This window comes from Homo sapiens, chromosome 5, assembly GCF_000001405.40.
Source record: "Homo sapiens chromosome 5, GRCh38.p14 Primary Assembly".
Taxonomy (NCBI): domain Eukaryota; kingdom Metazoa; phylum Chordata; class Mammalia; order Primates; family Hominidae; genus Homo; species Homo sapiens.
The window spans coordinates 138,469,903-138,496,821 of NC_000005.10; the positions used below are offsets into that span (position 1 = coordinate 138,469,903).

The 26,919-nt window shown below is 48.6% G+C and overlaps 1 long non-coding RNA gene and 1 pseudogene across 1 annotated transcript, besides 5 other annotated features; both read left to right on the top strand.

Annotated features, from left to right (window-relative positions):
* Positions 3,842–4,515, top strand: RPL7P19 (ribosomal protein L7 pseudogene 19; annotated as a pseudogene).
* Positions 21,097–21,790: an enhancer, noted in NCBI's record as "H3K27ac-H3K4me1 hESC enhancer chr5:137826688-137827381 (GRCh37/hg19 assembly coordinates)". NCBI's record gives its function as "activates a minimal SCP1, AML or CMV promoter by ChIP-STARR-seq in naive H9 embryonic stem cells {active_cell/tissue: H9 hESC(naive)}" and the evidence as "EXISTENCE:reporter gene assay evidence [ECO:0000049][PMID:30033119]".
* Positions 21,791–22,483: an enhancer, noted in NCBI's record as "H3K27ac-H3K4me1 hESC enhancer chr5:137827382-137828074 (GRCh37/hg19 assembly coordinates)". NCBI's record gives its function as "activates a minimal SCP1, AML or CMV promoter by ChIP-STARR-seq in primed H9 embryonic stem cells {active_cell/tissue: H9 hESC(primed)}" and the evidence as "EXISTENCE:reporter gene assay evidence [ECO:0000049][PMID:30033119]".
* Positions 21,791–22,581: a biological region, named in NCBI's record as "H3K27ac-H3K4me1 hESC enhancer GRCh37_chr5:137827382-137828074".
* Positions 21,942–22,581: a silencer, noted in NCBI's record as "silent region_16400". NCBI's record gives its function as "represses an Ori minimal core promoter by ATAC-STARR-seq in GM12878 lymphoblastoid cells {active_cell/tissue: GM12878}" and the evidence as "EXISTENCE:reporter gene assay evidence [ECO:0000049][PMID:35858748]".
* Positions 22,426–23,423, top strand: LOC124901078 (uncharacterized). Its single transcript, XR_007058953.1, has 2 exons — positions 22,426–22,631; positions 23,360–23,423. It is a non-coding gene; the product is annotated as an uncharacterized LOC124901078 (long non-coding RNA).
* Positions 23,178–23,869: an enhancer, noted in NCBI's record as "H3K4me1 hESC enhancer chr5:137828769-137829460 (GRCh37/hg19 assembly coordinates)". NCBI's record gives its function as "activates a minimal SCP1, AML or CMV promoter by ChIP-STARR-seq in primed H9 embryonic stem cells {active_cell/tissue: H9 hESC(primed)}" and the evidence as "EXISTENCE:reporter gene assay evidence [ECO:0000049][PMID:30033119]".

Below are 26,919 nucleotides of genomic sequence, written 5' to 3' on the forward strand. Positions count from 1 at the left end.
GGCCTTTAGGGGAACAGTAACAATGCTGGGGCCGACTCAGCCTCTCCCTCCCATTCCCCAGGTCCCCAGCAACTTGAGGGCATCAAAGAAGCCTAGACGAGGTAAAGGCCAGTTCTCAAGCCAAGAATCCTTCCAGGAAGAAATTCTTATTACTTGCCAGCTGGAACTGCCATCCTTGGCAGCTTCGTGGGACAAAGGATAGAGTGGGCAGAAGCCTGGCCTGGTGTCTAAAGTTCCCATCCGGGCCAAATCTGTTCCCATTGTGTAGGAGGCCTGAGGTTCTAGGTTCTTTTGGGCCCAGTCCCCTGAGGGACCACTCCCACTGCTGGGGCAATCCCTGTGGGCACGTGAGCATCTGCCTACTCTGTGAGAGGCCTTGACCTGGCCACAGCAGACACCATGGGAGGAATGTGGATTGTTGGTTGGGGAGACGGACATAAGACACAAATCACAACATGGTATTGTGTTATGCAATATGGGCAAGAATGGAGCTCTTTGGGAGCACAGTGAAGGGCACCCAACCCACCTGGGGGTTTAGGAAAGGTGGAAAAATTGAGTTAGGAAGCATAAGCAGGAGTCAACCTGATTGACTTGGTTTGTGGGTGAGGCAGGGAGGACACTGGCCAAGTCTACTCAGCAGTGTGGATGAGACGGATTACTGAGTGGAAGCACTACCTCCAACCCCAATATCTAAGTCTTTTGTGAATTGGTCAGACTCCACGATTCACTGGGTGGATGGGTACAATAGATTTGATGTACTGGAATTCCCAACCCTTGGCTCCTCTCCCAACTTCTGACCCCTAAAATCAGAGGAACAATGAGGTATCCCCTTGACCTGGTATGGTTATCAGGCCCTGAGTGAAGTGAAAGTCTAATCTGCTTCTACCTCTTCTCCTTCCTCTAAGGGTCTCCCAGGTGGTTCTCAACCCACACTTTCTGGAGCCAGAGGGATTCCAATAAACCCCTGACATTGGCCCAATTCTTTCTTGTGCAGTCTAGCCTTCCCTGACCAACACTGTTGACCTCTGCCCTTTCCCATGGCACCAGACTCCTCAGCCTTGAGGAGGGGGAACAGGACACCTTCTCTAGTAAGGGGCACATCCCTGTGAGCCTCCTGGCAAAATTGCCAGGTCCTGATGGGACAATATTTGTATTGGCGCACCTCTTCCCAGCCCCACCTACCCCTCCCCATCTCACTCTAGGCCCAGGAACACAAGTCCATACCTGTTACACATTCTTAAGAGTTTCTCACTCCAGACTCCCAAGAAATAAAACATGGCAAGAATAAAATATGAAAGAAGGAGCATTGAGACTCTATTTCTTTAAAGCAGAGGGTCTTGTAAGTTACAAGTGCATCAGAATGAGATTCCCAGGCCCCATGAACGGAGCAGGTGACTGATACCTTACATTTGGGATAGGGTCCTGGAACTGGCCTTGATAACAAGGTCATTCTGATGCAGATGGCTTGTTGCTAGCTAATATTTATTTTATTTTATTTTTGAGACAGGGTTTCATTGTCACTCAGGCTGGAGTGCAGTGGTGCGTTTATAGCCCATTGCAACCTTGAACTCCTGGGCTCAAAGTCTCCTCCAGCCTCCCAAGTAGCTGAGAATACAGATGCACTACAGGTGGCTAATTTTTAAAATTTTTTTTAAATTTATTTTTTGCGACAGAGTCTGGCTCTGTTGCCCAGGCTGGAGTGCAATGGCACAATCTCGGCTCACTGCAACCTCCATCTCCTGGGTTCAAGTGATTCTCCTGCCTCAGCCTCCCAAGTAGCTGGGATTACAGGCACCCACCACCATGCCTGGCTAATTTTTGTATTTTTAGTAGACACGGTTTCACCATGTTTGCCAGTCTGGTCTTGAACTCCTGACCTCAGGTGATCTGCCCGCCTTGGCCTCCCAAAGTGCTGGGATTACAGGCGTGAGCCACCACGCCCAACCTTTAATTTTTTTTTTTTTAAGAGATGGGAGGGTCATACTTTGTAGCCCAGGATGGTCTCGAACTCCTGAGCTGGAGTAGTCCCTCCCATCTTGGCCTCTCGAGGTGCTGGGATTACAGGCGTGAGCCAACACATTTGGCTGCTAGCTAATTTTTATTAGCCCGTCACCAGGGTTTCTTTAGGTTCTGACAGTCCAAACTTAAGTTTCTTTTCATGGCTGAAATAGGGAATGGGGCAAAAAGCTGCTCCCTTTTACAGTCCTATAGTATAAGGAATGTGTTGGCTGATATAAAAATAAAAATATAAAAATAATAAGTGTTTATTTAAATTCCTACTCCTGCTAGGGAAATAGAAAACCAAGGGCACGAGACAGTGCTGATAAGAGATCTCATCATTATAAAGGTTAAGGTTGGAGAAGGGTCCCGGAGAGTGTTGAACAAGTGATTGCTACCTGGGGAAATTGTCTAGGGCTTCAGGAATATGAGGAAGGACAGAGAGGAGTAGGGTAGAAGGGAGTTGGGGGTGGGGGACTGGGCTAAGGACAAGGACAGGTTTTGATTCTGAAGTGAAAGAACCAGGTCCTAAAGACCCTTGACCCTTCCTCCTCCTACCTGAAAGGTACTCTTTTGCTTGAATTTCAGGAACGTTCAGCCTCGTTCTCACCTGTTTTGAAAGATTCCAAGCACTCAGGAAGGCGGAGCTTGGCCCGGGATTTGCAGCACGCTGGAGTTTTCAGTGTGTTTCCTTCCACCTTCCCCCTATTCAGAACCGCCCCTATCCCCCAGGTATGGAACTGGAGGCAGGTAAGAGTACTATAGGGTCAAAGGTATTCCCTGCCAGTCCCCCTCCCTGCATCCACACTGTTTTCACTGTTTCAGGACACACTTAATGCAGTTGGAGAGGGGAAGCCATTGGGCAGAGGGATATCCCAGAGTCCTAAGGGAAATGAGGCCAAGTTTAAAAGAATCAGATGTCAAGCAAATAACATTTCAACATTTTACCCAGAAACCTTTGGGTGCTAATAAGATTTTTGCACCCAAATAGCAAATCTAACCCTCTACTTCAGTAATTTTTCTCTCAGTCTCCTTATCTCCATTACTAGGACCTAGGAGAGCCTCTGTGGCTAAGCTTACTTCAGATGACCTCTTAGGTCAGATCGGTGGCCCAGCAACTCAGATGCAAGTAAAATCTCATTTCCCTTTCCAGGGAGTTCTCTCCATCAAGCCCATTCTCCTTAGCACTTAGGGTTTTAAAAATTATTATTACAACTCTATTGAGGGCTGTGTATGGTGGCTCACACCTGTAATTACTGCACTTTGGGAGGCTGAGGCTAGAGATTGCTTGAGCCCAGGAGTTCAAGACCAGCCTGGGCAACATAGGGAGACCCCGTCTCTACAAAAAAATAAAATAAACCAGGCATGGCAGCCCATGCCTGTAGTTCCAGATACTCGAGACGCTGAGGTAGGAGGATTGCTTGAGCCTGGGACATCAAGGCTGCAGTGAGCTGAGATTGTGCCTCTTCACTCCAGCTTGGGCAGCAGAGCAAGACCTGGTTTCAAAAAAAGTTTTTTTAAACTATTTTTGTATTTTTTAAGCCAGGTGCGGTAGCTCATGACTGTAATCCCAGCACTTTGAGGGGCCGAGGCAGGTGGATCATCTGAGGTCAGGAGTTCAAGACCAGCCTGGCCAACATGGTGAAATCTGGTCTCTACTAAAAATACAAAAATTAGCCAGGCATCGTGGCAGGCACCTGTAGTCCCAGCTACTCAGGAGGCTGAAGCAGGAGAATCGCTTGAACCCCGGAGGCAGAGGTTGCAGTGAGCCAAGATTGCACCACTGCACTCCAGTTTGGGCAACAAGAGCAAAACTCCATCTCAAAAAAAGAAAGAAAAGAAAGAAAGGCAAGGAGGAAGCTTATCTGTGAAAAAGAAAAGCACTATCACAAGGAATATAGGCAGATGTACAGAACTGAAATTCGAATGGCGAGGATGGCAAGAAAAGCTGGCAACTTCTATGTACCTGCAGAACCCAAATTGGCGTTTGTCATCAGGATCAGAGGCATCAATGGTGTGAGCCCAAAGGTCTGAAAGGTGTTGCAGCTTCTTTGCCTTTGTCAAACTTCAGTGGAAACTTTGTGAAGCTCAACAGGCTTCAGTTAACATGCTGAGGATTGTAGACCCATATATTGCATGGGGATACCCAAATCTGAAGTCAGTAAATGAACTAATTTACAAGCATGGTTATGGCAAAATCAATAAGAAGCGAATTGCTTTGATACATAACACTTTGATTGCTTGATCTCTTGGTAAATATGGCATCATCTGCCTGGAGGATCTGATTCATGAGATCTATACTGTTGGAAAATGCTTCAAAGAAGCAAATAACTACCTGTGGCCCTTCAAATTATCTTCTCCACGAGGCGGAATGAAGAAAAAGACCACCCATTTTGTAGAAGGTGGAGATGCTAGCAACAGGGAGGACCAGATCAACAGGCTTATTAGAAGAATGAACTAAGGTGTCTACCATGATTATTTTTCTAAGGTGGTCAGTTAATAAACAGTACCTACTCTTGGCTGGGCGTGGTGGCTCATTCCTGTAATCCCAGCACTTTGGGAGGCAGAGGCGGGTAGATCACAAAGTCAGGAGTTCGATACCATCCTGCCTAACACGGTGAAACCCCACCTCTACTAAAAATACAAAAAAATTAGCTGAGCATGGTGGCGGGCGCCTGTAGTCCCAGCTACTGGGGAGGCTGAGGCAGGAGAATGGTGTGAACCCAGGAGGCAGGGCTTGCAGTGAGCTGAGATTGCACCACTGCACTCCAGCCTGGGCGACAGAGCGAGACTCCATCTCAAAAAAAAGACAAATAAATAAATAAATAAAACAGTACCTACTCTCAAACTGAAAAAAAAAAAAACATGCCCGGCCTCCTCCTTGCCTTTTGAAGCATCTTTTGGGCAAACTTCTTTCTCAGGTGCTTGATTTCCAGCTCTTCGAAATTCTTTTTCTTTTTCTTTTCTTTTTTTTTTTTTTGAGAAGGAGTTTCGCTCTTGTTGCCCAGGCTGGAGTGCAGTGGCACACTCTTGGCTCACTGCAACCTCCGCCTCCCGGGTTCAAGCGATTCTCCTGCCTCAGCCTCCCGAGTAGCTGGGATTACAGGCATGTGCCACCACGCCCAGCTAATTTTGTAATTTTAGTAGAGAAGGGTTTCTCCATATTGATCAGGCTGCTCTCAAACTTCCAACGTCAGGTGATCCGCCCGCCTTAGCCTCCCAAAGTGTTGGGAGTACAGGCGTGAGCCACCACGCCCGGACTCCTTCGCTTTTTCTTAAGGGTTTCTGGCACAGCAGGAACCTTCTTCTTCTCTTCTACACCCTGCATGTTCCAGCCGGAAAAAGAGGATAGAGGGTCTTATATATGGAATCATTCCATATGTCCTTGATTTGATCTGGCTTACTTCACTTAGCATCACTGTTCAGGATTCACTGATGTTGCTGTGTGTACACTGCAAATAGTTCACTCCTTTTCATTGCCAAGTAGCATTCTGCTATATGGCTGTGCCCCAGTTGTTCATCCTTTCCCCTGTGGAGGGACATCTGGGCTGGTTCCTTTGGCGCTATTATGGATAAAGCTGCTGTGATTATTGGAGCACAAGTCCTTGTGTGGATGTGTCCACATTTACTCCAAAGTTTCCCCCCAACTGTTCTGGCTCCTTCTTCCCACCATATCCACATTTTTTCACATCCCTGGTGCTTAAAACAACAAGCACCCATCTTCTCCCACACTCACAGTCAAAGTCTCCTAAAAGATATGCTTCCTTTAATCATTGCTCAATTAAACAGAGCGAGCCCCTTTGTCTTTTTTTTTTTTTTTTTTTTTTTTTTTTTGAGACAGAGTCTTGCTCTGTCACCAGGCTGGAGTGCAGTGGCAGGATCTTGGGTCACTGCAACCTCCGCCTCCCGGGTTCAAGCGATTCTCGTGCCTCAGCCTCCCGAGTAGCTGGGATACCAGGCATGTGCCACCACACCCAGCTAATTTTTGTATTTTTAGTAGAGACGGGGTTCCCCATGTTGGCCAGGCTGTTCTTGAACTCCTGACCTCGTGATCCACCCACCTCGGCCTCCCAAAGTGCTGGGATTATAGGCGTGAGCCACCGCCCTGGCCCCTTTGTCATTTTTATTGCTCTACTCCAAGCTCTCTCCTATTTGTTTCTATCTTTTTTTTTTGAGACAGAGTCTCACTCTGTCGCCCAGGCTGGAGTGCAATGGCGCCATCTTGGCTCTCTGCAACTGCCACCTCCTGGGTTCAAGCAGTTCTCTTGCCTCAGCCTCCCGAGTAGCTGGGACTACAGCCGCGTGCCACCACGCCCGGCTAATTTTTGTACTTTTAGTAGAAGTCTCGAACTCCTGACCTCAAGTGATCTGCCTGCCCCGGCCTCCCAAAGTGCTGGGATTACATGCATGAGCCACCATGCTCGGCCCCGTTTGTTTCTGTCTTCCTGGTAATGAGGTGTCTGGGCTAAGCAAGGTAGATTGTCATTATTTAGTCAGCTTGGCAAATGGACAAAAGTCCATGGTGATAGTTTTCTAAAGAGGAGAGGTGCCTGGGAGAGGGTGAGCCTGGGATTGATCAGATACTCCTATCTCAAAAACAGGAAGAGGCTAAGGGTCAGGTGATGTGGGACGCTGCCCTTGGGGGACTAGTCCCGAGAGGTTATCTGTACACTTTGCCTTTATCACCATCTCCTGTGGGCAGTTCCTGATGGGTTTTCTGGAACACGGGCCGCATTCACCCACTGGTTGTCACAGACTCTAATCTACCACATTTTCACCTCTTGGACTGGGGTTAGTACTGTAACTAAAACTTCTCTCTTTCCTCTTTGGACATCAGGAGTGTGGGGCTATGGAGCCACCAGAGGAGAGAAGGACAGCGGAGGCTGGAAGGCAGGTCTGGGTCTGTGCTCGCAACTCTGATAAACTGACACTTGCTGATGACCTGGCATGTGTGGTAGCTATCCTTCACAGTTATTCTTTCCAGACAGACAATAACAAGTATCAGTGAGGATGTGAATAAACCAGAACCCTCACATATTGCTGGTGGGGACGTAAAAAGATGCAGCCACTTTGGAAAATGGTTTAGTTACTTCTTATAAAGTTAAACATACACTTACCATATGACCCAGAAATTCCACTCCTGGGTATCTACCTAACAGAAATAAAAATATGTTCATGCAAAGACTTGCATGCAAATGTTCATAGCAGCATTATTCATAATAGCCGGAGTGGAAACAATCCAAATGTCTATTCAACCAGTGCATAGATAAGCAAAATGTGGTGTATCCAAACAATGAAATAGGCCTCAGCAATAAAAAGGAACAAAATACAGACGCGCGCCGCAACATGCATAAACTTCAAAACATTTTGATAAAGAAGTTAGGTGTGTGACTGCGTTTATATGAAGTGTCCAGAAAAGGCAAAAGTCTTATAGAGACAGAGAGCAGATTAGTAGTTGTCTGGGGCTGGGTATAAGAGAGTTATTGACGGCCAATGAGTTTGCTATTTTGGGGATCATGGAGATATTCTAAAACTGGATTGTTATGTTTGAACAATTGTTTACATTACTGAAAGTTATTGAATTATATACAAAGATGGGTGAAATTTGTGATATGTAAATTATAACTTAGGAAGAATTTTTTTTTTTTTTTTGAGACAGAGTTTTGCTGTGTCACCCAGGCTGGAGTGCAGTGGTGCGATCTTGGCTTATTGCAACCTCCACCCCCCGGGTTCAAGCGATTCTCCTACCTCAGCCTCCCAAGTAGTTGGGACAATTGGCATGTGCCACCACACTGGGCTAATTTTTGTATTTTTAGTAGAGACGGGGTTTTGCCATGTTGCCCAGGCTGGTCTCAAACTCCTGACCTCAACTGATCTGCCTGCCACGGCCTCCCAAAGTGCTGGGATTACAGGTGTGAACCACCACGCCCAGCTGGAATATTTAAAACATTATCCTTGCTTGCTGGGCGCAGTGGCTCACGTCTGTAATCCCAGCACTTTGGGAGGTGGAGGTGGGCAGATCACCTGAGGTCAAGAGTTCAAGACCAGCCTGGCCAACATGGTGAAACCCCGTCTCTACCAGAAATACAAAAATTAGCCAGGCATGGTGACGGGTGCCTGTAACCCCAGCTACTTGGGGGGCTGAGGTGGGAGAATCACTCGAACCCGGGAGGTGGAGGTTGCAGTGGGCCGAGATCGCGCCACTGCACTCCAGCTTGGGAGACAGAGTGAGACTCCCTCTCAAAAAACAAACGAAACAAAAACAAAAGAACAGGCTGCCCACCTGGGCCAGAGTGGCTCCTCAACTGCCAGATAAATCTAAAAGTCACCATTTCCACAGAACCAGCAGTGGGTGCCGTACTCAGAGAAAACCAACTCAGCCTCCCAGGAAGCTCATTTCTCCTCAGAACTAACTTCACTTCCTAGAACCTCATTTGTTGAACAAATTAACAGAGCACCTACGGTGGGAGAGTTGGTTCTGAGGATTTGGAGGGGCTCTGGGAGAAGGAGAAACTTAACCACCCCAGCCTTGCCAACCACCTTTGAATCTCATTAGAACCAACTTTGAATTCCCTGAAACTGGCTTCTCACAAACAGTGCATCCCCTCCAGCTGCCTTATTAGAACCAATTTTCAGTCACCTCAACACCAACTGTCTATCTCAAACTATCATCTCAGAACCACCCATTTAATAGTCTCAGATCCACCTGACTGGGTCCTTTGTAAGCCTTCGCTGGTCAGCTATGGCAGTGTTCTCAATCCTCTGTTAATGACACTAACACAATTTCTATTGCCCTCAAGTCCCCATAAAACAGAGACTCTCCAGTGGTGACTGCTTCCAGTCCCATTACAGCAGCCTCAGAACCAATTTTGTCACCAGATTTGTGATGACTCCCCTGCATTGTCTCCTCAGAATCATCGTTCATTCTCTTCAGAGCCAGATTTCATTTTTGGCTAATGAAATTGTCAAGGTCCTTACAACTTTCTCTTCAGAAGTATCTTGGTTCTGGCCGGGTGCAGTGGCTCACACCTGTAATCCCAGCACTTTGGGAGGCCGAGGTGGGCGGATCACGAGGTCAGGAGATCGAGACCATCCTGGCTAACACGGTGAAACCCCATCTCTACAAAAATACAAAAAATTAGCTGGGCGTGGTGGCGGGCGCCTGTAGTCCCAGCTACTCAGGAGGCTGAGGCAGGATAATGGCATGAACCTGGGAGGCGGAGCTTGCAGTGAGCCGAGATCGCGCCACTGCACTCCAGCCTGGGTGACAGAGCGAGACTCTGTCTCAAAAAAAACAAAAAAACAAAAAAACAAGAAGTATCTTGTTTCTACTCGGAAACATTTTTTTCCATCTCCTCAGGTCCAGCTGTCAGCCTTCGTAAGGCAAGTCTTTAGGTTATTCATCCCTGGGCTTCAGTTTCCCCATCTACTTCATGGGGGAAATAATGTTTATTTTTTTTCTTCTTTGAAAAGGTAATGTTGGCCAGGCGCAGTGGCTCATGCTTGTAATCCCAGCACTTTGGGAGGCCGAGGCAGGTGCACTGCTTGAGCCCAGGAGTTCGAGACCAGCCTGGGCAACATGGTGAAACCCCATCTCTACAAAAAATAAAAAAATTAGAGGAGTATGATGGCGCACTTGTTGTCCCAGCTACTTGGGAGGCTGAGGTGGGAGAAATGCTTGATCCTGGGATGTGGAGGTTGCAGTGAGCCGAGATCTCATCACTGTACTCCAGCCTGGCTGAAAGAGCAATACCCTGTCTCAAAAAAAAAAAAAAGATAAAAAACAAGACAAAACAAAACAACAAAGAGTAATGTGAATTTTTTTCTTATTATGAGATATATATTCATTGTGAAAAATATAAAAGCATACCTTTTTCACACATGTTGAAAGAAGAGAAAGCTTTGACACATGAAACTAACATGCTGATGGAGGGAGAATGAATTGGGCCCAGTTTTCCTGAGGGCTACAAGCACGTACTCAGAGCCTTGTAAAAGTTCATGCCACCCGGGAGGTGGAGGTTGCAGTGAGCCGAGGTCTAGCCACAGCACTCCAGCCTGGAGACAGAGCGAGACTCCGTCTCAAAAGGAAAAAAAAAAGTTCATGCCTTCTTTCCTAGCAATTCTACCACGACTGCTTTTAATCACAGTATTATGTGTAATGGAGAAAAATGGCAACAGCATACATGTCTGATGGGTGATGGCTGAAATAAACTGTTATATCATATGATGAATTACTAGGCAGTCATTATAAATCATGTTATAAAATAACTATTGACCTGAAAATGCTCACAATATAATACTAAGGAATGAAAGTAAGATATAAAACTTTACATGGTACGATTCCAATTTTATAAAATACATGCACATATAACATCATTATACATCAAATGCTGGTGATTGTCATTCTAGGTAGTGTATTTTTTTTTTTGAGACAGGGTCTCACTCTGTCAACCAGGCTGGAGTGCAGTGGCGTGATCTCAGCTCACTGCAACCTCCGCCTCGCAGGTTCACGCCATTCCCGAGTAGCTGGGACTACAGGCACCCGCCACCACGCCCAGCTAATTTTTTATATTTTTGGTAGAGACGGGGTTTCACTGTGTTAGCCAGGATGGTCTTGATCTCCTGACCTCATGATCCGCCCTCCTCAGCCTCCCAAAGTGCTGGGATTACAGGCATGAGCCACCGTGCCCGGCCTCTTTCTTTTCTTTCTTTTTCTTTTCTCTTTTTTTTTTTTTTTTTGAGACGGAGTTTTGCTCTTGCCCACGCTGGAGTGCAGTGGCGTGATCTCGTCTCACCACAACCTCTGTCTCATGGATTCAAGCAATTCTCCTGCCTCAGCCTCCCGAGTAGCTGGGATTTCAGGCATGCTCCACTACGTCTGGCTAATTTTATATTTTTAGTAGAGACGGGGTTTCTCCATATTGGTCAGGCTGGCCTCGAACTCCCGACCTCAGGTGATCCTTCCTCCTTGGCCTCCCAAAGTGCTGGGATTACAGGTGTGAGCCACCGTGCCCAGACTAACTTTTATTTTCTATACTTTTCTGTGTTTTCCAAATGAGCTGATTTTTGTTGTTGTTGTTGTTTGTTTCTGAGACGGAGTCTTGCTCTGTCGCCCAGGCTAGAGTGCAGTGGCGTGATCTTGGCTCACTACAACCTCCACCTCCTGAGTTAAAGCGATTCTCCTGCCTCAGCCTCCTGAGTAGCTAGTGCTGTGCCACCACGCCTGGCTAATTTTTGTATTTTTAGTAGAGATGGGGTTTCGCCATATTAGCCAGGCTGGTCTTGAACTCCTGACCTCAGGTGATCTGCCCTCCTTGGCCTCCCAAAGTGCTGGGATTACAGGTGTGAGCCACTGTGGCCGGTGAGCAGATGTTTTTATCATTGGAAGAAAATTGTTCTATTTAAGAAAGCAAAAGAAAAAGACTAGATAAGCAAGTAAATATTTTCTAGAATCTGGTTTATTATAAAGGTCCTCTGATGGACTATTTTCTTGCATTGCGGGAGTATGACCCTTTGATAATAAGCTGTTAAAGACTGGTAAAAAATAAAGATGGGTCCAGGTGGAATGGCTGATACCTATAATCCCAGCACTTTGGGAGGCTGAGGCAGAAGGATGGTTTGAGACCAAAAGTTCAAGACCAGCCTGGGCAACATAGAGAGACCCTGTCTCTACAAAAAGTACAAAAAATTAGCTGGGTGTGGTGGCACATGCCTGTAGTCGCAGCTACTAGGGAGGCTGAGGTCAGAGGATCGCCTGAGACCAGGAGTTTGAGGCTGCAGTGAGCTATGATCTTCACTGCACTGCAGCCTGGGCAACTAAGCGAAACCTAGCCTCAAAAGAAAACAAAAGAAAACACGCCTGGCACGGTGGCTGATGCCTGTAATCCCAGCACTTTGGGAGGCCGAGGCGGGTGGATCACTTGAGGTCAGGAGTTCAAGACCAGCCTGGCCAACATGGTGACACCGCATCTCTACTAAAAAAAAAATACAAAAATTAGCCAGGCATGGTGGCAGGTGCCTGTAATCCCAGCTACTCAGGAGACGGAGGCATGAGAATCGCTTGAACCGGGGAGGCGGAGGTTGCAATAAGCTGTGATTACACCACTGCACTCCAGCCTGGGTGACAGAGTGAGACTCTGTCTCAAACAAAACAAAACAAACAAACAAACAAAGATGGGAAAGATTTCCTAGGGACTCAGGCCTCTAGGCTTTTGCTGAGCGGATGCAAGTTGTTTAACATTCCCCGTAAGTGGATGGTCTGTCTGTTAGAGGCTGGCGGGATAGAAGCACCAGACAACTGCTGTTGGCTTCTAAATTTGGGGGCTGTAGGTTTTTTAAAAACCAGAAAGTGTTATTTTATTAGTTCATCAAGCTCCCTCAACTATTTCTTAGAGAACTCGTGAGATCTCGCCCCCATCACTGAATTCTCTTTCCATCTTCATTCCCCATGTACAACTCACACAAAGCACTAGGCTCAAAGCCTTTCTCTTAAATATCTTTCTTTTGCTTATTACTGAATTGGTGTTAGCCAGGTGTTCCTGTTGGTTATTCTTGGGTCAGACTTTGTTTTTATTGTTCTACAATTTCGTAGGCACCCCTTAGAAAGAAGAGCTCAAGTCTGGGTGACTCTCTTGGGGTCATCCTCAGTACTAGTTCATCCAGAGTCTATGTGGCTCCTTTGCTCTATCATGAATAGATCAAAATTTATCCAAGATGTATTATCAAATACCTACTTTATGTCAGGCCCTAAGCACATACAGATAAACAGGATAGAGTCTGGGGCAGCACCACATTGCATGCAGAAAGATTCAGAAAGAAATAATTACCATAGTGTGATATATGAGAGGTGTGTACAGAGCAGGGAGTGACTAATTCTGTCAAGAGGAGAGATGGAGGAATGGGGTGTAGAAGGAAGACCAGGAGTTCACAGGAGGACGTGCGGGCAAGGGAACAGCAAGTGCAAAGCCAGGGAGGTGTGTTCAGGAACCAGCAAATTAATGGTGGGGCGGCAGGAAGTACGGAGGGGAGGGGCAGGGAATGTGGCTGGAAGGGCAGGTTGGGGCCAGATTTGGAAGGCCCTCAGTAACAGTCCAAGGGGTTGTACTTTTCCTGAAGGCAACAGGGACTGAGATGGCATTAGTGTGTTGGCACGCCACTACTTTTGATGGTGTTTCTGGGTGTCTGAAAAGCTACACTGCTTCCTGTCTCCTCAGGAGAGTCCTCTACTTCTGATGTAGCAATAATAACAGTAATTTAGATGGATCACTTCGGACTGTATGCATGCCTTTTAATTTCAGCTTTCAATAAGGTCTGGGATACCTGAAACGCAACTATTCAATCTTTTCTCTTTTTTTCTTTTTTGAGACGGAGTCTCGCTCTGTCGCCCAGGCTGGAGTGCAGAGGTGCGATCTCGGCTCACTGCAAGCTCTGCCTTCCAGGTTCACGCCATTCTCTTGCCTCAGCCTCCCAAGTAGCTGGGACTACAGGCGTCCACCACCACGCCCGGCTAATTTTTTGTATTTTTAGTAAGGACGGGGTTTCACCGTGTTAGCCAGGATGGTCTGGATCTCCTGACCTCGTGATCCCCCACCTTGGCCTCCCAAAGTGCTGGGATTATAGGCGTGAGCCACTGCACCCGGCCCACATATATGTAAATTCTAAAAATAAATTCTAAATATCAATTTTGTGGCTAGATCAAACTTCATAATTTTTATTGTAGAAAATCTTAAATATCCTCAAAAGTAGGGGGAAATGATGTAATAACCTCCCTGTATCTATCAACCAGTTCAACAATGATCATTTCACAGCAGTCTTGTTTCTTCTATAACACCCTCTTCCCTACCCTCACCCCCACACACTGGATTATTTTGAAGCAAATCCCAGACATTATATAATTTCATCTGTAAATACTTCAGTGTATATCTTCATAAGTATTTTTAAGTTCTTTTGCTGGAATCAGAACCCAAAAAAGACCACACTTTGCATTTGGTCGATGTCTTTAAAGTTTCTTTTCAGCCACAATAGTTCCTTTTGCTATCTATTTGTTGAAGAAAACAGGTTATTTGTCTTGAAGAAAACAGGTTATTTGTCCTGAAGAATTTCCCACTTTTTGAATTGTACACATTGCCTTGTTTCCCCCCTTATAATTCTGTTCAATATGTCCTTTTATCCCATCAATTTCACATAAACTGGTTGTTACACCCAGAGGCTGGATCCGACTCGGGTTCACTTTTTAGGTGATGCTATACACTTGGTATTGCAACATAACAAGAAGTACATAATTTTTAGGGTTTTATTTTTTTTCTCTCTCTCTTTAGTTTCCTATATGGGATTTCTAAATGGTGAAATATAATTCACATAACATAAAATTCTCCATTTAAAGTGTACAGGCCGGGCGCGGTGGCTCAAGCCTGTAATCCCAGCACTTTGGGAGGCCTAGGCGGGCAGATCACGAGGTCAGGAGATCGAGACCATCCTGGCTAACACGGTGAAACCCCGTCCTTACTAAAAATACAAAAAATTAGCCGGGCTTGGTGGTGGGCGCCTGTGGTCCCAGCTACTCGGGAGGCTGAGGCAGGAGAATGGTGTGAGCCTGGGAGGCAGAGCTTGCAGTGAGCCGAGACCGCGCCACTGCACTCCAGCCTGGGCGACAGAGTAAGACTCCATCTCAAAAATAAAAAATAAAAAAATAAAAATAAAGTGTACAATTCAATGAATTTTAGTATATTTGTAGTGTTGCACATCCGTTGCCACTAATTCCAGAACATTACAATTATCCCCAAAATAAACCCTGTACCTGTTAGCAGACACTCTCCATTCCTTACCACCCCCTGCCCCCAAATCACTGACAACTACTAATCTACTTTCTGTCTCTACCAGTTTGCCTGTTCTGGATATTTCATATACATAGCATTAAATAATATATGGCCTTTTGTGTCTGGCTCCATTCGCTGAACATAATGTTTTCAAGGTTCATCCATTTTGTAGCATGTCTCAGTACTTCACTCCTCTTTATATCTGAATCATATTCCATTATATGGACACACCACATTTTATTTATCCATTCATCAGTTGATGGACATTTGAATTGTTTCCACTTTTTAGCTATTTGAATAATACTTGTTGCTGTGAACATTATGTACAGGTTTCTGTACAAACATATGTTTTCAATTCTCTTGGTTAGTTCTCTTTTTGTGTGCGTGATGTTAAAATGAATTAATCAGCCAGGTGCCTGTAGTCCCAGCTAATCAAGAGGCTAAGGCAGGAAGATCCTTTGAGCCCAGGAGTTTGAGGCTATAGTGAGCTATGATTGCACCTGTGAATAGCCACTGCACTCCAGCCTAAGCAACATAGGAGACCCTGTCTCTGAAAAAAACCCAGATTGATTGATGGGTCCAAGTATCACTGGCATTACAAAGTTTCTCTATACCTTTCATGCAATGGTTACAGAAATCTCCGATGATCAATGATCCTTATCTAAATCTATTATCTCATTAGGGGTTAAAAGGGTGATTTTATTTATTTTTTGTTTTTCTATTTTTTTGAGATGGAGTTTCGCTCTTGTCACCCAGACTGAGCACAATGACGTGATCTCGGCTCACTGCAACCTCCTCCTCCCAGGTTCAAGCGATTCTCCTGCTTCAGCCTCCTGAGTAGCTGGGACTACAGGTGCACGCCATGATAACCGGCTAATTTTTGTATTTTTGGTAGAGATGGGGTTTCACCATGTTGGCCAGGCTGGTCTTGAACTTCTGACCTCAAGTGATCTGCTCGCCTTGGCCTCCCAATGTGCTGGGTTTACAGGCATGAGTCAATGTACTTGGCCAAAGGGTGATTTTATAATTCTATCATTCCGTTTGCATTTGTTAGCCAGAATTTTTCTAGACTAAATCATAATTGTAAAGAAAGCACGATAAATACTCAAGTCTCTTCTTTCATTTGTCAAATGACAATATTTTGTACTTTCCTGTATGGAACCCCAAAGACATTCTGAATGTCAGCTGGGCGCAGTGGCTGACACATGTAATTCCAGCACTTTGGGAGACTGAGGCGGGCGGATCACGAGGTCAGGAGATCGAGACCATCCTGGCTAACACGGTGAAAACCCATCTCTACTAAAAATACAAAAAATTAGCTGGGCATGGTGGCGAACGCCTGTAGTCCCAGCTACTCGGGAAGCTGAGACAGGAGAATGGCGTGAACCCGGGAGGCGGAGGTTGCAGTGAGCCGAGATCGTGTGACTGCACTCCGGCCTGGGCGACAGAGCGAGATTCCGTCTCAAAAAAAGAAAAAAAAAAAAAAGAAATTCTGAATGTCTACATGGTCAAGGCTCTCCATGGAGTTGCAAATAAAAAATTATGATCCTGGCCTGGTGCGGTGGCTCAAGCTTGTAATCCTAGCACTTTGGGAGGCCGAGGTTGGAGGATCACCTGAGGTCGGAAGTTCAAGACCAGCCTGACCAACATGGAGAAACCCTGTCTCTATCAAAAATACAAAATCAGCCAGACGTGGTGGCGCATGTCTGTTAATGCCAGCTACTCGGGAGGCTGAGGCAGGAGAATTGCTTGAACCCAGGAGGCAGAGGTTGTGGTGAGCCAAGATTGCGCTATTGCACTCCAGCCTGGGCAACAAGAGCGAAACTCCGTCTCAAAAAAAAAAAAAAAAAAAAAAAAGGATTATGATACTGGAGACAGAAAACAAAAATAAATCCAATCTTGACTTGGAAAACTACAGGGTGTCTACTTAATGCCTCAGAGCAATACTGTACTCTATAAAATTCCTCCTAACCTTTCCTTTCTACCCCCTCTCTTTCCCTTCTCTCTTCCCCTTCCTTGTTCTTTATTATATAGATGGATTTAGCCTCTCTGCCTAAGTCCTTCTTTCTCCCAGCCTCTCTAGCTCTCCATCTCCTCCTGTCTCTAACCAGCACCCTCACCCACTCATTTTGATTCTGCATCACAAAAGATGCCGGACTGGGGATGGCTGAGAGCAGACTCTTGGAGTTGGGAGTGGGCATGAATTCTGAGCTGGAAACCTTTTGTGGATGGGTGAGAGGAGAGAAAACAGGGAGAAACACTCAAACTAATGAAGCTTATTTCCATCACATGTATTTTCTGCAATGAGCATGAATCACATATGGTGGAATAAAAAATAAATAAATAAAATGTTTTAAAAATAAGAGATGGTAGGGAAGGAAGTAAGCACTATTCTTTCTCAATTTCCAGTTCCCCTTCTTCTCCATACAGACTGCAGCATCCTTGGCTTTCTGTTCCAGGGCAAGTGAAGTGGAACCTTTCCTCTGACTCAGGATTTAAAGTGTTTCCCACCCCCTCAGGCCCACAGCGTGGGTGGCAGCCTTGGAGTCATGCTCCTGTCACCATGCAGAGGAGCTCTGTGAGCTATGGGAGCCAGGCTGGCTAAAGGCCTTCAGTGATAGATGAGAGGTCTCCCTGATTTTTTTGTTTGTTTGTTTGTTTGTTTTTTTGAGATGGAGTCTCGCTCTGTCACCCAGGCTGGAGTGCAGTGGCGCGATCTCGGCTCACTGCAAGCTCCATCTCCCGGGTTCACGCCATTCTCCTGCCTCAGCCTCCCCAGTAGCTGAGACTACAGGCACTCGCCATCACGCCCGGCTAATTTTTTTTATTTTTAGTAGAGATGGGGTTTCACCATGTTAGCCAGGATGGTCTAGTTCTCCTGACCTCGTGATCCACCCGCCTCGGCCTCCCAAAATGCTAGGATTACAGGCGTGAGCCACCGCGCCCGGCTGAGGTCTCCCTGATTAAAACTGCTGGGCTTGGCTGGGCCCGGTGGCTCATGCCTGTAATGCCAACACTTTGGGAGGCCAAGGCAGGTGGATCACTTGAGGTCAGGAGTTCGAGACTAGCCTGGCCAACATGGTGAAACCCCATCTCTACTAAAAATACAAAGATTAGTGACCATTTGTGTGGTGCAGTTGGTTGGTGTGCTTGCCTCCAACTCTGGAGATGGGCGCCCATTCTGGGGAGTTTCTCTTGCATTTTGGCCAGGCACGGTGGCTCACGCCTATAATCCCAGCACTTTGGGAGGCCAAGGTGGATGGATCACGAGGTCAGGAGTTCAAGACCAACGTGGCCAACATGGTGAAACCCCGTCTCTACTAAAATACAAAAAATTAGCCGAGCATGGTGGTGCGCACCTGTAGTCCCAGCTGCTGGCTAAGGCAGGAGAATCACTTGAACCCCAGAGACAGAGATTGCAGTGAGCCGAGATCACACCACTGCACTCCAGCCTGGCGTGGTGGCACGTGCCTGTATTCCCAGCTACTCAGGAGGCTAAGGCAGAAAAATCACTTGAACCTGGGAGGCGGAGGTTGCAGTGAGTGAAGATGGTACCACTGCACTCCAGCCTGGGCAACAGAGCAAGACGTGGTCTCAAACAAACAAACAAACAAACAAAAAACTGCTGGGCTCTCCAGCCTCTTCTCCAAGAAGCACCTCCTTGGGTCTTCAGGAGATCTCCCGAGGCTGTTCAATGGAGACATCTTGGTCTCTTAGGAAAATTTCAAGGCTTGGGAAGGGTAGTGGAGACCTCTCAAGTCTCCTGCTTCTGGAGTCCGGGTTGGGAGAGAGAGTCCAGTTGACAGCCAGAGTCCCAAGACACAGGGCCCCGTATCACCCATGCCTATCTGTCCACGCCCCATACATGCTCTGGTGGCAAGTGTGAACAAACAAAGTGAACAGCAGCCAAGTTTTAATCTGTGTGTGGAGCACTAGGGAAATGTAGGTGTGGGCAGATTTTTGTGGTCTCAGCCTATCTGAGCAGGAGCCCTAGGGGCGGTGAAGAAGCCTTGGTGAGTCAGGAGACAGCAGGGCAAAAAGGACAAGCACACGTGCTCTGGAGTCACACAGACCCAAATTCTGAGCCCTTGGTCTGCCATTTACATACTTCATGATCACAGGCAAGTTCCCTACTTCTCTGAACCTCAGTTTTCACCTGTAGAAAATGGGAGTAATTCTCATTCTAGTAGGTGTTAAAAAAAATAAGAAATTTAAAATAATTAAAGTTTTAAAAAAAAGCAAAATAAAATGGCCATAATGGTTTCATCTCATTGGTTTATGCGGGTTAAATGAGGCAATGTCTACAGAGTGCTGGGCTGGCTCTCTTTTTTTAAGAGATAGAGTCTCACTCTGTCACCCAGGCTGGAGTGCAGTGGCGCAATCTCGGCTCACCGAAGCCTCGACCTCCCAGGCTCAAGCAATCCTCCCCTACTTCAGCCTCCTGAGTAGCTGGGACTATAGGCAGGCACTACCACGCCTGGCTAATTTTTGTATTTTTGGTAGCGAGGGGGTCTCGCCATGTTGCCCAAGCTGGCCAAATCTCTCATAAATTGGGAGTTGTTACTGAGGAGTCCATATGCCTCAATTTCCTTATCTCTAAAACAGAGATAACAGTAGGATTACCTGAGGGGGGATTAAATGAGATAATAAATGAAGAGTGGTTGACACACTGTGGGTAAATGTTAACTATTAACACTATCAACACCTTCCCTGTTTTGCTCAAGGTCAAAACCCGATAGTTCCCTCCTCTTCTTGCTTTCTCCCTGACCCTGTTCCATTTGCCAGGAAATGACCCTTCTTATCTTTTTGGACAGAAGAATGCACTCAGAAGAGAGCACGTGGGAGAGCAGGAGGAGATCCAGGGGTCTCTGTCCTTGCTGAGACCTGCGTCTCCCCTCCCACCGCACTCAGACCCAGGGCTTTCCACGAGCATCTCTCTTGGACAAAGCTCTGCCCAAGGGTTCATTTTAGAGACTTCTGTAACTCAAGAGGATCAGTATTAATCTTCCCCACCTACAAGATGAGTGGCAGCCCAAAGCCAAGTGCTTCCCAGCCAGGGAGAGAAAGACATGGAAGTTCCCTTCTTTTCTGTGTCTCTCCCCGCCTCCTTTTTGCGGGGGAGCTGAATGTGCTCCTCTGGAGGGACTGAGGGAAGCCAGGGCTGGCTCAAAAGTGATTTTGCCTAGATGAAGCTGGCAGCTGGGAACCACTTTCCCTCCGCTTGCCCTCTGCCGGGGAAACTCCATGACGGAGACAAGGCAGCTGGCAGGGAGAAGCCTCTGGATTGGGGCTGCTGGGGCTGCTGCAGTGCCAGGCAGGGCCACACAGGAACACATGGGCCCAGAGGCAGATGCTGATGCCACCTTTCCTTGCTGAGGACTCCCTAGAAAGGCAGTGCCTTGGAGCCTGCGGGGAAGACTATCTTTACCTGTAGCACAGAAGCAAATATAAAGGAACACAGAACTAGTGGAAAAGGTACGGGGTTGGGCTCTGAAGAATGGGGTCCCAGCCCTGGTGCTGCCACTCCACGGCCGTGTGATTTTTGGTCAAGGTGCTTAAGATCTTTCCCCAAATTCTAGTTTCCCTATTTGCAAAATGAATGTTGTAATACGTCCCTCATAGGAACTGTGCAGAGAATTAGTTGAAATGATGTATGGGAAGCTGGGACACGGGAGATGGCTAATAAATATTCATTTATTCCACAGAGGAATCGAAGAGAAAGGAAATCGCTGGATTTTGGAGGCTTTATGATTTATCAGCTTATTCTATGGAATTAAGCCCTGGGCATCATGCTATTTGTCAGGGGCCTGGTTCTAGCGAAGATATGTGTTTATCTTTCACTATGAGATCCCAAGAGTCTCCCGAAATATTCTGGGCCTCAGAACTGGTTTCTCTGGGTGGCAGAGTATCAGAACACAGGGCAGAAGGAACCTGTTCCTCAGAGATCCAATCGACATCTCCCTTAAGCCTTTTGCTGCCCTCCACGAACCCATCCTTTTGTGCTGCCAGCTCCATGTCCCCATTCCGGGGGAGGCCAGAATGACACATCTACATGTCACCCCGTAGTCTACAATGTCGGGAAGGAGCTGTGTCCCTGCTGGAATTGAAAAACATCCTTGAGGGCTGCAACTTTTACAGGGAAAGTTACCATGCCAACGACAGCCTCCTTGCCTGACAGGGATGAAAGGAAACAAGGCTGTGGGTGACATGCATCTATTGTGTGTCCACAAACTTGCCTGGAATCTATCAGGGACTGCGGACTGCTGCTCAGCAGGATGGAACAGGAGGATTCAGGTTAGATTTCAGTGGGACTCCGGGATGGGCAGGACTGATGAGGGCAGGGCAGGGCCAGCAAGCGAGGATTGGGAAATGCTTCTCTGAGATTGATACCCATCTCTTGGTGAAATGTGTGGGTGTGGTACTGACAGCAGGCGTGGGAGGGGACGGTGTCCTAGATACCAGTTTCTGGCTGTGATGGGAACCTCGACTTCCCCCAGGTTCTTTCTGCCTTCACAGGATGGTCTAGGAGGTTACCTATGCTCTGGGTTAGATAGAAGAGGGCATGGCAGGTCACTGGGGCAGTGGGGCCACAGGCATGCCTATGGAGAAGGCCCAGTCTTGGCGAGGAGGCCCCAAGATGCCTAAGGAGGAGCGTCTCCTTCAAGGGGCAGGGCTTCCAGGGAGAATGGCCCCCACTCCCGAACAGGGAAAGGGCACAGAGGACTGAGGAGCTGGCACTGCCGAAGCACCTACGCCACGTCAGGCACTTGACACAGCCCCCATTTCATTTAATTATCTCCACAAACCTGCACAGCAGGAACTCTCACTCCCATTTCACGGAGGAGATGAGGACACAGGCTCAGGAGAAGGTGAGTACCCGTCCCAGCATCACCCGGCTGGCAAGGGGAGACGCTGGGGCTGGAACCTCGCTGTCTGAACTGGAAAGGAAAACTCCACATTCAGGGTGCCCTATTTTCTTCTGGAAAGATCTCTCCCGAAGCCGTCCGCTCCTCATTCTGCCCTTCGTACAGGCTTCCCGGGCCTGAGACGGCTGGGAAGAGGCTAAAGGGGCACGACCAGCCGGCGTCTGGGAAACCGCTCCTGCAGCCTGCAACTGCGAGGGCCCGGGGCCGCCACGCGGGCCCCCCGGCAGCCTCTCGTTTCACCCCAGCCTCCGGAGAGGGCCCGAGGCTCAGAGACGAAGGCACTGCACCCAAGGCCACAGATCGTGCATGGCTTTGCTGGAATTCCCACCGGGCCCGCAGGCGTCGAGGCCGCGTAGAACCCCGGAGCCCCTGCGCCCCTGCGCCCCGCCCGCGGCTGCGAGGCTCGGTGCCCGCAGAGGCTCCGGCGGAAACGGCTCCATCCCGGGCGGGCTCCCGCCCCCGGCCCGCCCCCGTCCGCCCCGCGCCATGTATGGCGCTTCCTCCCCGAGCCCTACAAGGCGCTTCCTCCCGGCCCCAGGCCCATACAAGGCGCTTCCTTCCCGGCGCGGCTGGCTGGCGGCCCGCGGGCTGGGAGCCCGGTCCGCTGGGCCCGCCCAACCTCGGAGCCCGCGGCCAGCGGACCTGCTGCCAAGGAGGGGGCGGCAGCGGCGGGAGGGACGGGAACGCGGGGCCTGGCCCGGCGCGGGAGGCGCGGGACGGGCCGACTTGGGGGTCCCGCTGGTCCCCGCTGGTTTCGTATTTTGCCTCGCTTTTCTCCCCTAGCCCGGAGCACAGCACGCCCTGCCGGAGGTCTTTCAGCGGCCCCAGCCCGGGACCTCCAGCCACACGGGCCTCCGAGCCTCGCCGGCCGCTCTCCCCTGAGAGTTGACAAGTGGGTCTTCCCTGACATCTCTCTTCCTCCCCGCTTGCGCTTCTCGTACCTCCCTGGCTTCAGCCGAGCTGCCCCCTCCGCCTGGAATACCCTTCCCACACTATTCTGGCAGAAAGAACTGCTACGCATCCTTTACTTGGTTCAGACTTCTGGCCTCCTGGAAATCCTTCCCACCCCCACCCATAGGTCACCAGCCTCTGCTGAGCTGATTTAGGATCATAGGATCTTAACAAAGTGTCGTTATCTGAGTGATCCTGTTTCAGGCCTGCCGCAGTCCCTTTTCACCTTGGACAGTCATTTTTGACTTTAGGTCTGGTCCCCAACGTCTCCACCTGCTATGGCTCCCCGTGGTCTGAGGCTCATGACCCCACAACCCTACTTGAGTAGTTTGACTCTGCAGGAGAAAGCTGGAGGGGTAGGGTGAGGGGAGCCACAGCTGGGGCAAGTGTACACCTGGAGTGAGTTGGGGCTGAGCACTGCCCCTGGGTGCCCCCATCACCCAGAAGGGCCTCTCCTGCTCAGCCTGACAGCTCTGGTTTATCCACCACTGAAAGAACCAGCAAGCCCCTACAGGCCCTCCCGACAGCGCCTCCAGAAACAAACCTGGCCCAGCCATGTGGTTACCCTGATCTGATCTGCCATGAGAAAGGTCACAAACAGGGACTGGATCTCAGCACAGAGGGCTGCCAGCAACAGTTCCCGAGCCCCCTCCCCCCATGTTCCAGCAGGACAGCTGTCACAAAGTCCAGCTTTCTGCTGGGGAGGAGACAAGCAAGTCCCCATGTGGCCAGCTAGACCCGCCTGTGAGCCTGTGATTGTTCTGCCACAGGTAAGGCAGGGAAAGAAAAGCTCAGAGCTTGGGGCTGAGTGGGTGAATATGTCAGAGAAGGGCCTTTTAGGGCCAAGCAGCCTCTGGGCTTGATCCAGAATAAAATCACTCACAGGCTTCCAGGCGCAACACACACACACACACACACACACACACACACACACACACACAGTGGCTTCCAGGCGCAACACACACACACACACACACACACACACACACACACACACACACACACAGTGGCTGCAAATCCAAAATTTAAGGAGCCTTGTGGGTCTCCACAGCCCCAGGTTGGCTGAATGCCTGTGAATAGGGTGCATGGAGAGAATCTCAAAGGTCCAGGAGGTAGGTTTGGGAAAAAACTGGGTCTCAGAATCTGGGCTGCACACTTAGAGCCTAGGATACCTCTTGGCTTGTTTTCCCACTTAGGGCTGCAGGCCCCCAGCAGCCTTCTCTGTAGATCTATGCTCTAGGATTGTGGGTAATGCAGTCCACAGAGGCCAGGCTCCTAGTGATGCTGCTTCCTGCCCTCTCCTCCCCTCCTCTCAGGCCCCTGACAGCCACCCGCCTTCCTGCTCCAGGAGGAGGGCAAGTCAGAGTGAGGAGGTGGGCTCCTTGCAGGGATGGGAGATCCCAGGCTGGAAACCAGTGAGCTATTTATGATTGAGCTTAGCCAAGGGGCAAGGTGTGAGGGGAGCTCCTGTAGGCTGCTACAGAATTTGCAGGAACCCCAGGCCTCTGCTTGGGTAGGGCTTTTATTCTCTTCTGTGTGCAGGGTCCTTGATTCTTTTTTTTTTGAGACGGAGTCTCACTGTGTCACCCAGGCTGGAGTGCAGTGGTCTGATCTTGGCTCACTGCAACCTCCGCCTCCCGGTTTCAAGCAATTCTCCTGCCTCAGCCTCCCGAGTAGCTGGGATTACAGGAATGCGCCACCATGTCCGGCTAATTTTTTTGTATTTTTAGTAGAGAAGGGGTTTCACCATATTGGCCAGGCTGCTCTTGAACTCCTGACCTTGCGATCCTCCCGCCTCGGCTTCCCAAAGTGCTGGGATTACAGGCGCGAGCCACTGCGCCCGTGTGGGGGCCTTGATTCTTTGAAAGCCCTATGAAACAGTAAGGGTCCTGGGCTATTCCCTGCCTTAAGAGAGGACCTATGCTCTAGTGGTCCTGGGGCTGGCTTTCGGGCCTGTTAGGAATACTGGAGCCTGGGATTGATAATCTTTCAACAACTGCCAATGTGACACCCAATAATACCACAGCCGCCTGTTATTTCCTGCATTTTTTTCTCATTGTTTTCCTGTGCTTGCTTCCTCCACAAAATGAGATTTCCAGACAGAAACCAAACCTTCTCAAGCTGGGCGCGGTGGCTCACGCCTGTAATCCCAGCACTTTGGGAGGCCGAGGCGGGCGGATCACAAGGTCAGAAGATCGAGACCATCCTGGCTAACACGGTGAAACCCTGTCTCTAAAAAAAATACAAAAATTAGCCTGGGTGACAGAGCAAGACTCCGTCTAAAAAAGAAACAAGAAACCAAACCTTCTCTTGCCAGTGGATTGGGTGCCACTTTTGTCTCCCGGCCCCACAAAACCCTCTGTGCTTTTAACCACCAAACCAGGGCTTTTTTTTTTTCTTTTTTCTTTTTTTTTGAGATGGAGTTTCGCTCTTGTTGCCCAGGCTGGAGTGCCGTGGCGCCATCTTGGCTCACTGCAACCTCCGCCTCCTGGGTTCAACAATTCACCTGCCTCAGCCTCCCAAGTAGCTGGGATTACAGGCGTCCGCTACCACCCCCGGCTAATTTTTAAATTTTTTTTAGTAGAGATGGGGTTTCACCATGTTGGCCAGGCTGGTCTAGAACTCCTGACCTCAGGTGATCTTCCCACCTCGGCCTCTCAAAGTGCTGGGATTACAGGCGTGAGCCACGGCACCCGGCCCATGGCATTTTTTCTTTGGCTGGGTTTGCCACTAGATTGAGCGCTCTTTATTGACACGGACTGTGTCTGCCTTGTTGACTACAGGTCCTCAAAAAACGTCATTTTATTCAGTTCAACGTCCTTTCCTTATAACATTGATGAGAAAAAAAATCAGTTTTCAGCTGGAGTTGTTTGGGTGGAGTTGGTACGTTCTCCCCGTGTCTGCATGGGCTTTCTCTGGGAACTCTGGTCTCCTTACACATCTCAAAGATGTACTCATTAGATGAATCAGCATGTCTAAATGGTCGCTGGATGAATGAGTGTGGGTGTGTTTGTGAGTGTGCCCTGCCGTGGAATGGCATCTTGTCTAGGGTTGGTGTTTTCCTTGTGCCCTGAAAGCTACTGGGATGGGCTCCTGCCACCTGAGACCCGCAACTGGAAGAAGTGGGGTGGAAAATGAATGAATGAATACAAATTATTGTCAAATAAAAATCTGTAAATATCCAATAATCATATGGTGCACAATGACAAACAATGCCATATGAAAGTGCTCAGCAAGCCTTCCATATTTGTGATTGTTTTTGAACTCAGGCAGGTGAAGCAGTAGGAGGTGCTCCTTGCAATTTTTGTTTTGCAAACATTTATTTCTTCATGTAACCCACCACCACAACATCCCTGATTCACCAAAAATTGAGTAAATAATCCTTGTTTTGTTTTTTTTTTTTGAGACAGTTTCGCTCTTGTTGCCCAGGCTGGAGTGCAATGGAGTGATCTTGGCTCACCACAACCTACGCCTCCCAGGTTCAAGCAATTCTCCTGCCTCAGCCTCCCGAATAGCTGGGATTACAGGCATGCGCCACCATGCCCAGCTAATTTTGTATTTTTAGTAGAGACGGGGTTTCTCCATGTTGGCCAGGCTGGTCTCGAACTCCCGACCTCAGGTGATCCACCCGCCTCGGCCTCCCAAAGTGCTGGGATTACAGGCATAAGCCACCACGCCTGGCCAATCCTTGTTCTTATGAATCTTTCTTAAATGTGTATATAGCTAACATTTTATTTATTTATTTATTTATTTTTTGAGATGGAGTCTTGCTCTGTCACCCAGGCTGGAGTGCAGTGGCACGATCTCGGCTCACTGCAAGCTCCGCCTCCTGGGTTCATGCCATTCTCCTGCCTCAGCCTCTGGAGTAGCTGGGACTACAGGTGCCTGCCACCACGCCTGGCTAATTTTTTGTATTTTTAGTAGAGACGGGGTTTCACCATGTTGGGCAGAATGGTCTCGATCTCTTGACCTTGTGATCTGCCCGCCTCGGCCTCCCCAAGTGCTTGGATTACAGGCATGAGCCACTGCACCCGGCCAGCTCACATTTATTTCATTTTGAGACAGTCTTGCTCTGTCACCCAGGCTGGAGTGCAGGTGTGGTCTCAGCTCACTGCAACTTCCACCTCCAGGTTCAAGAGATTCTCCTGCCTCAGCTTCTGGGATTATAGCTGTGTGCCACCACGCCTGGCTAATTTTTGTATTTTTGTAGAGAAGGGGCTTCGCCATGT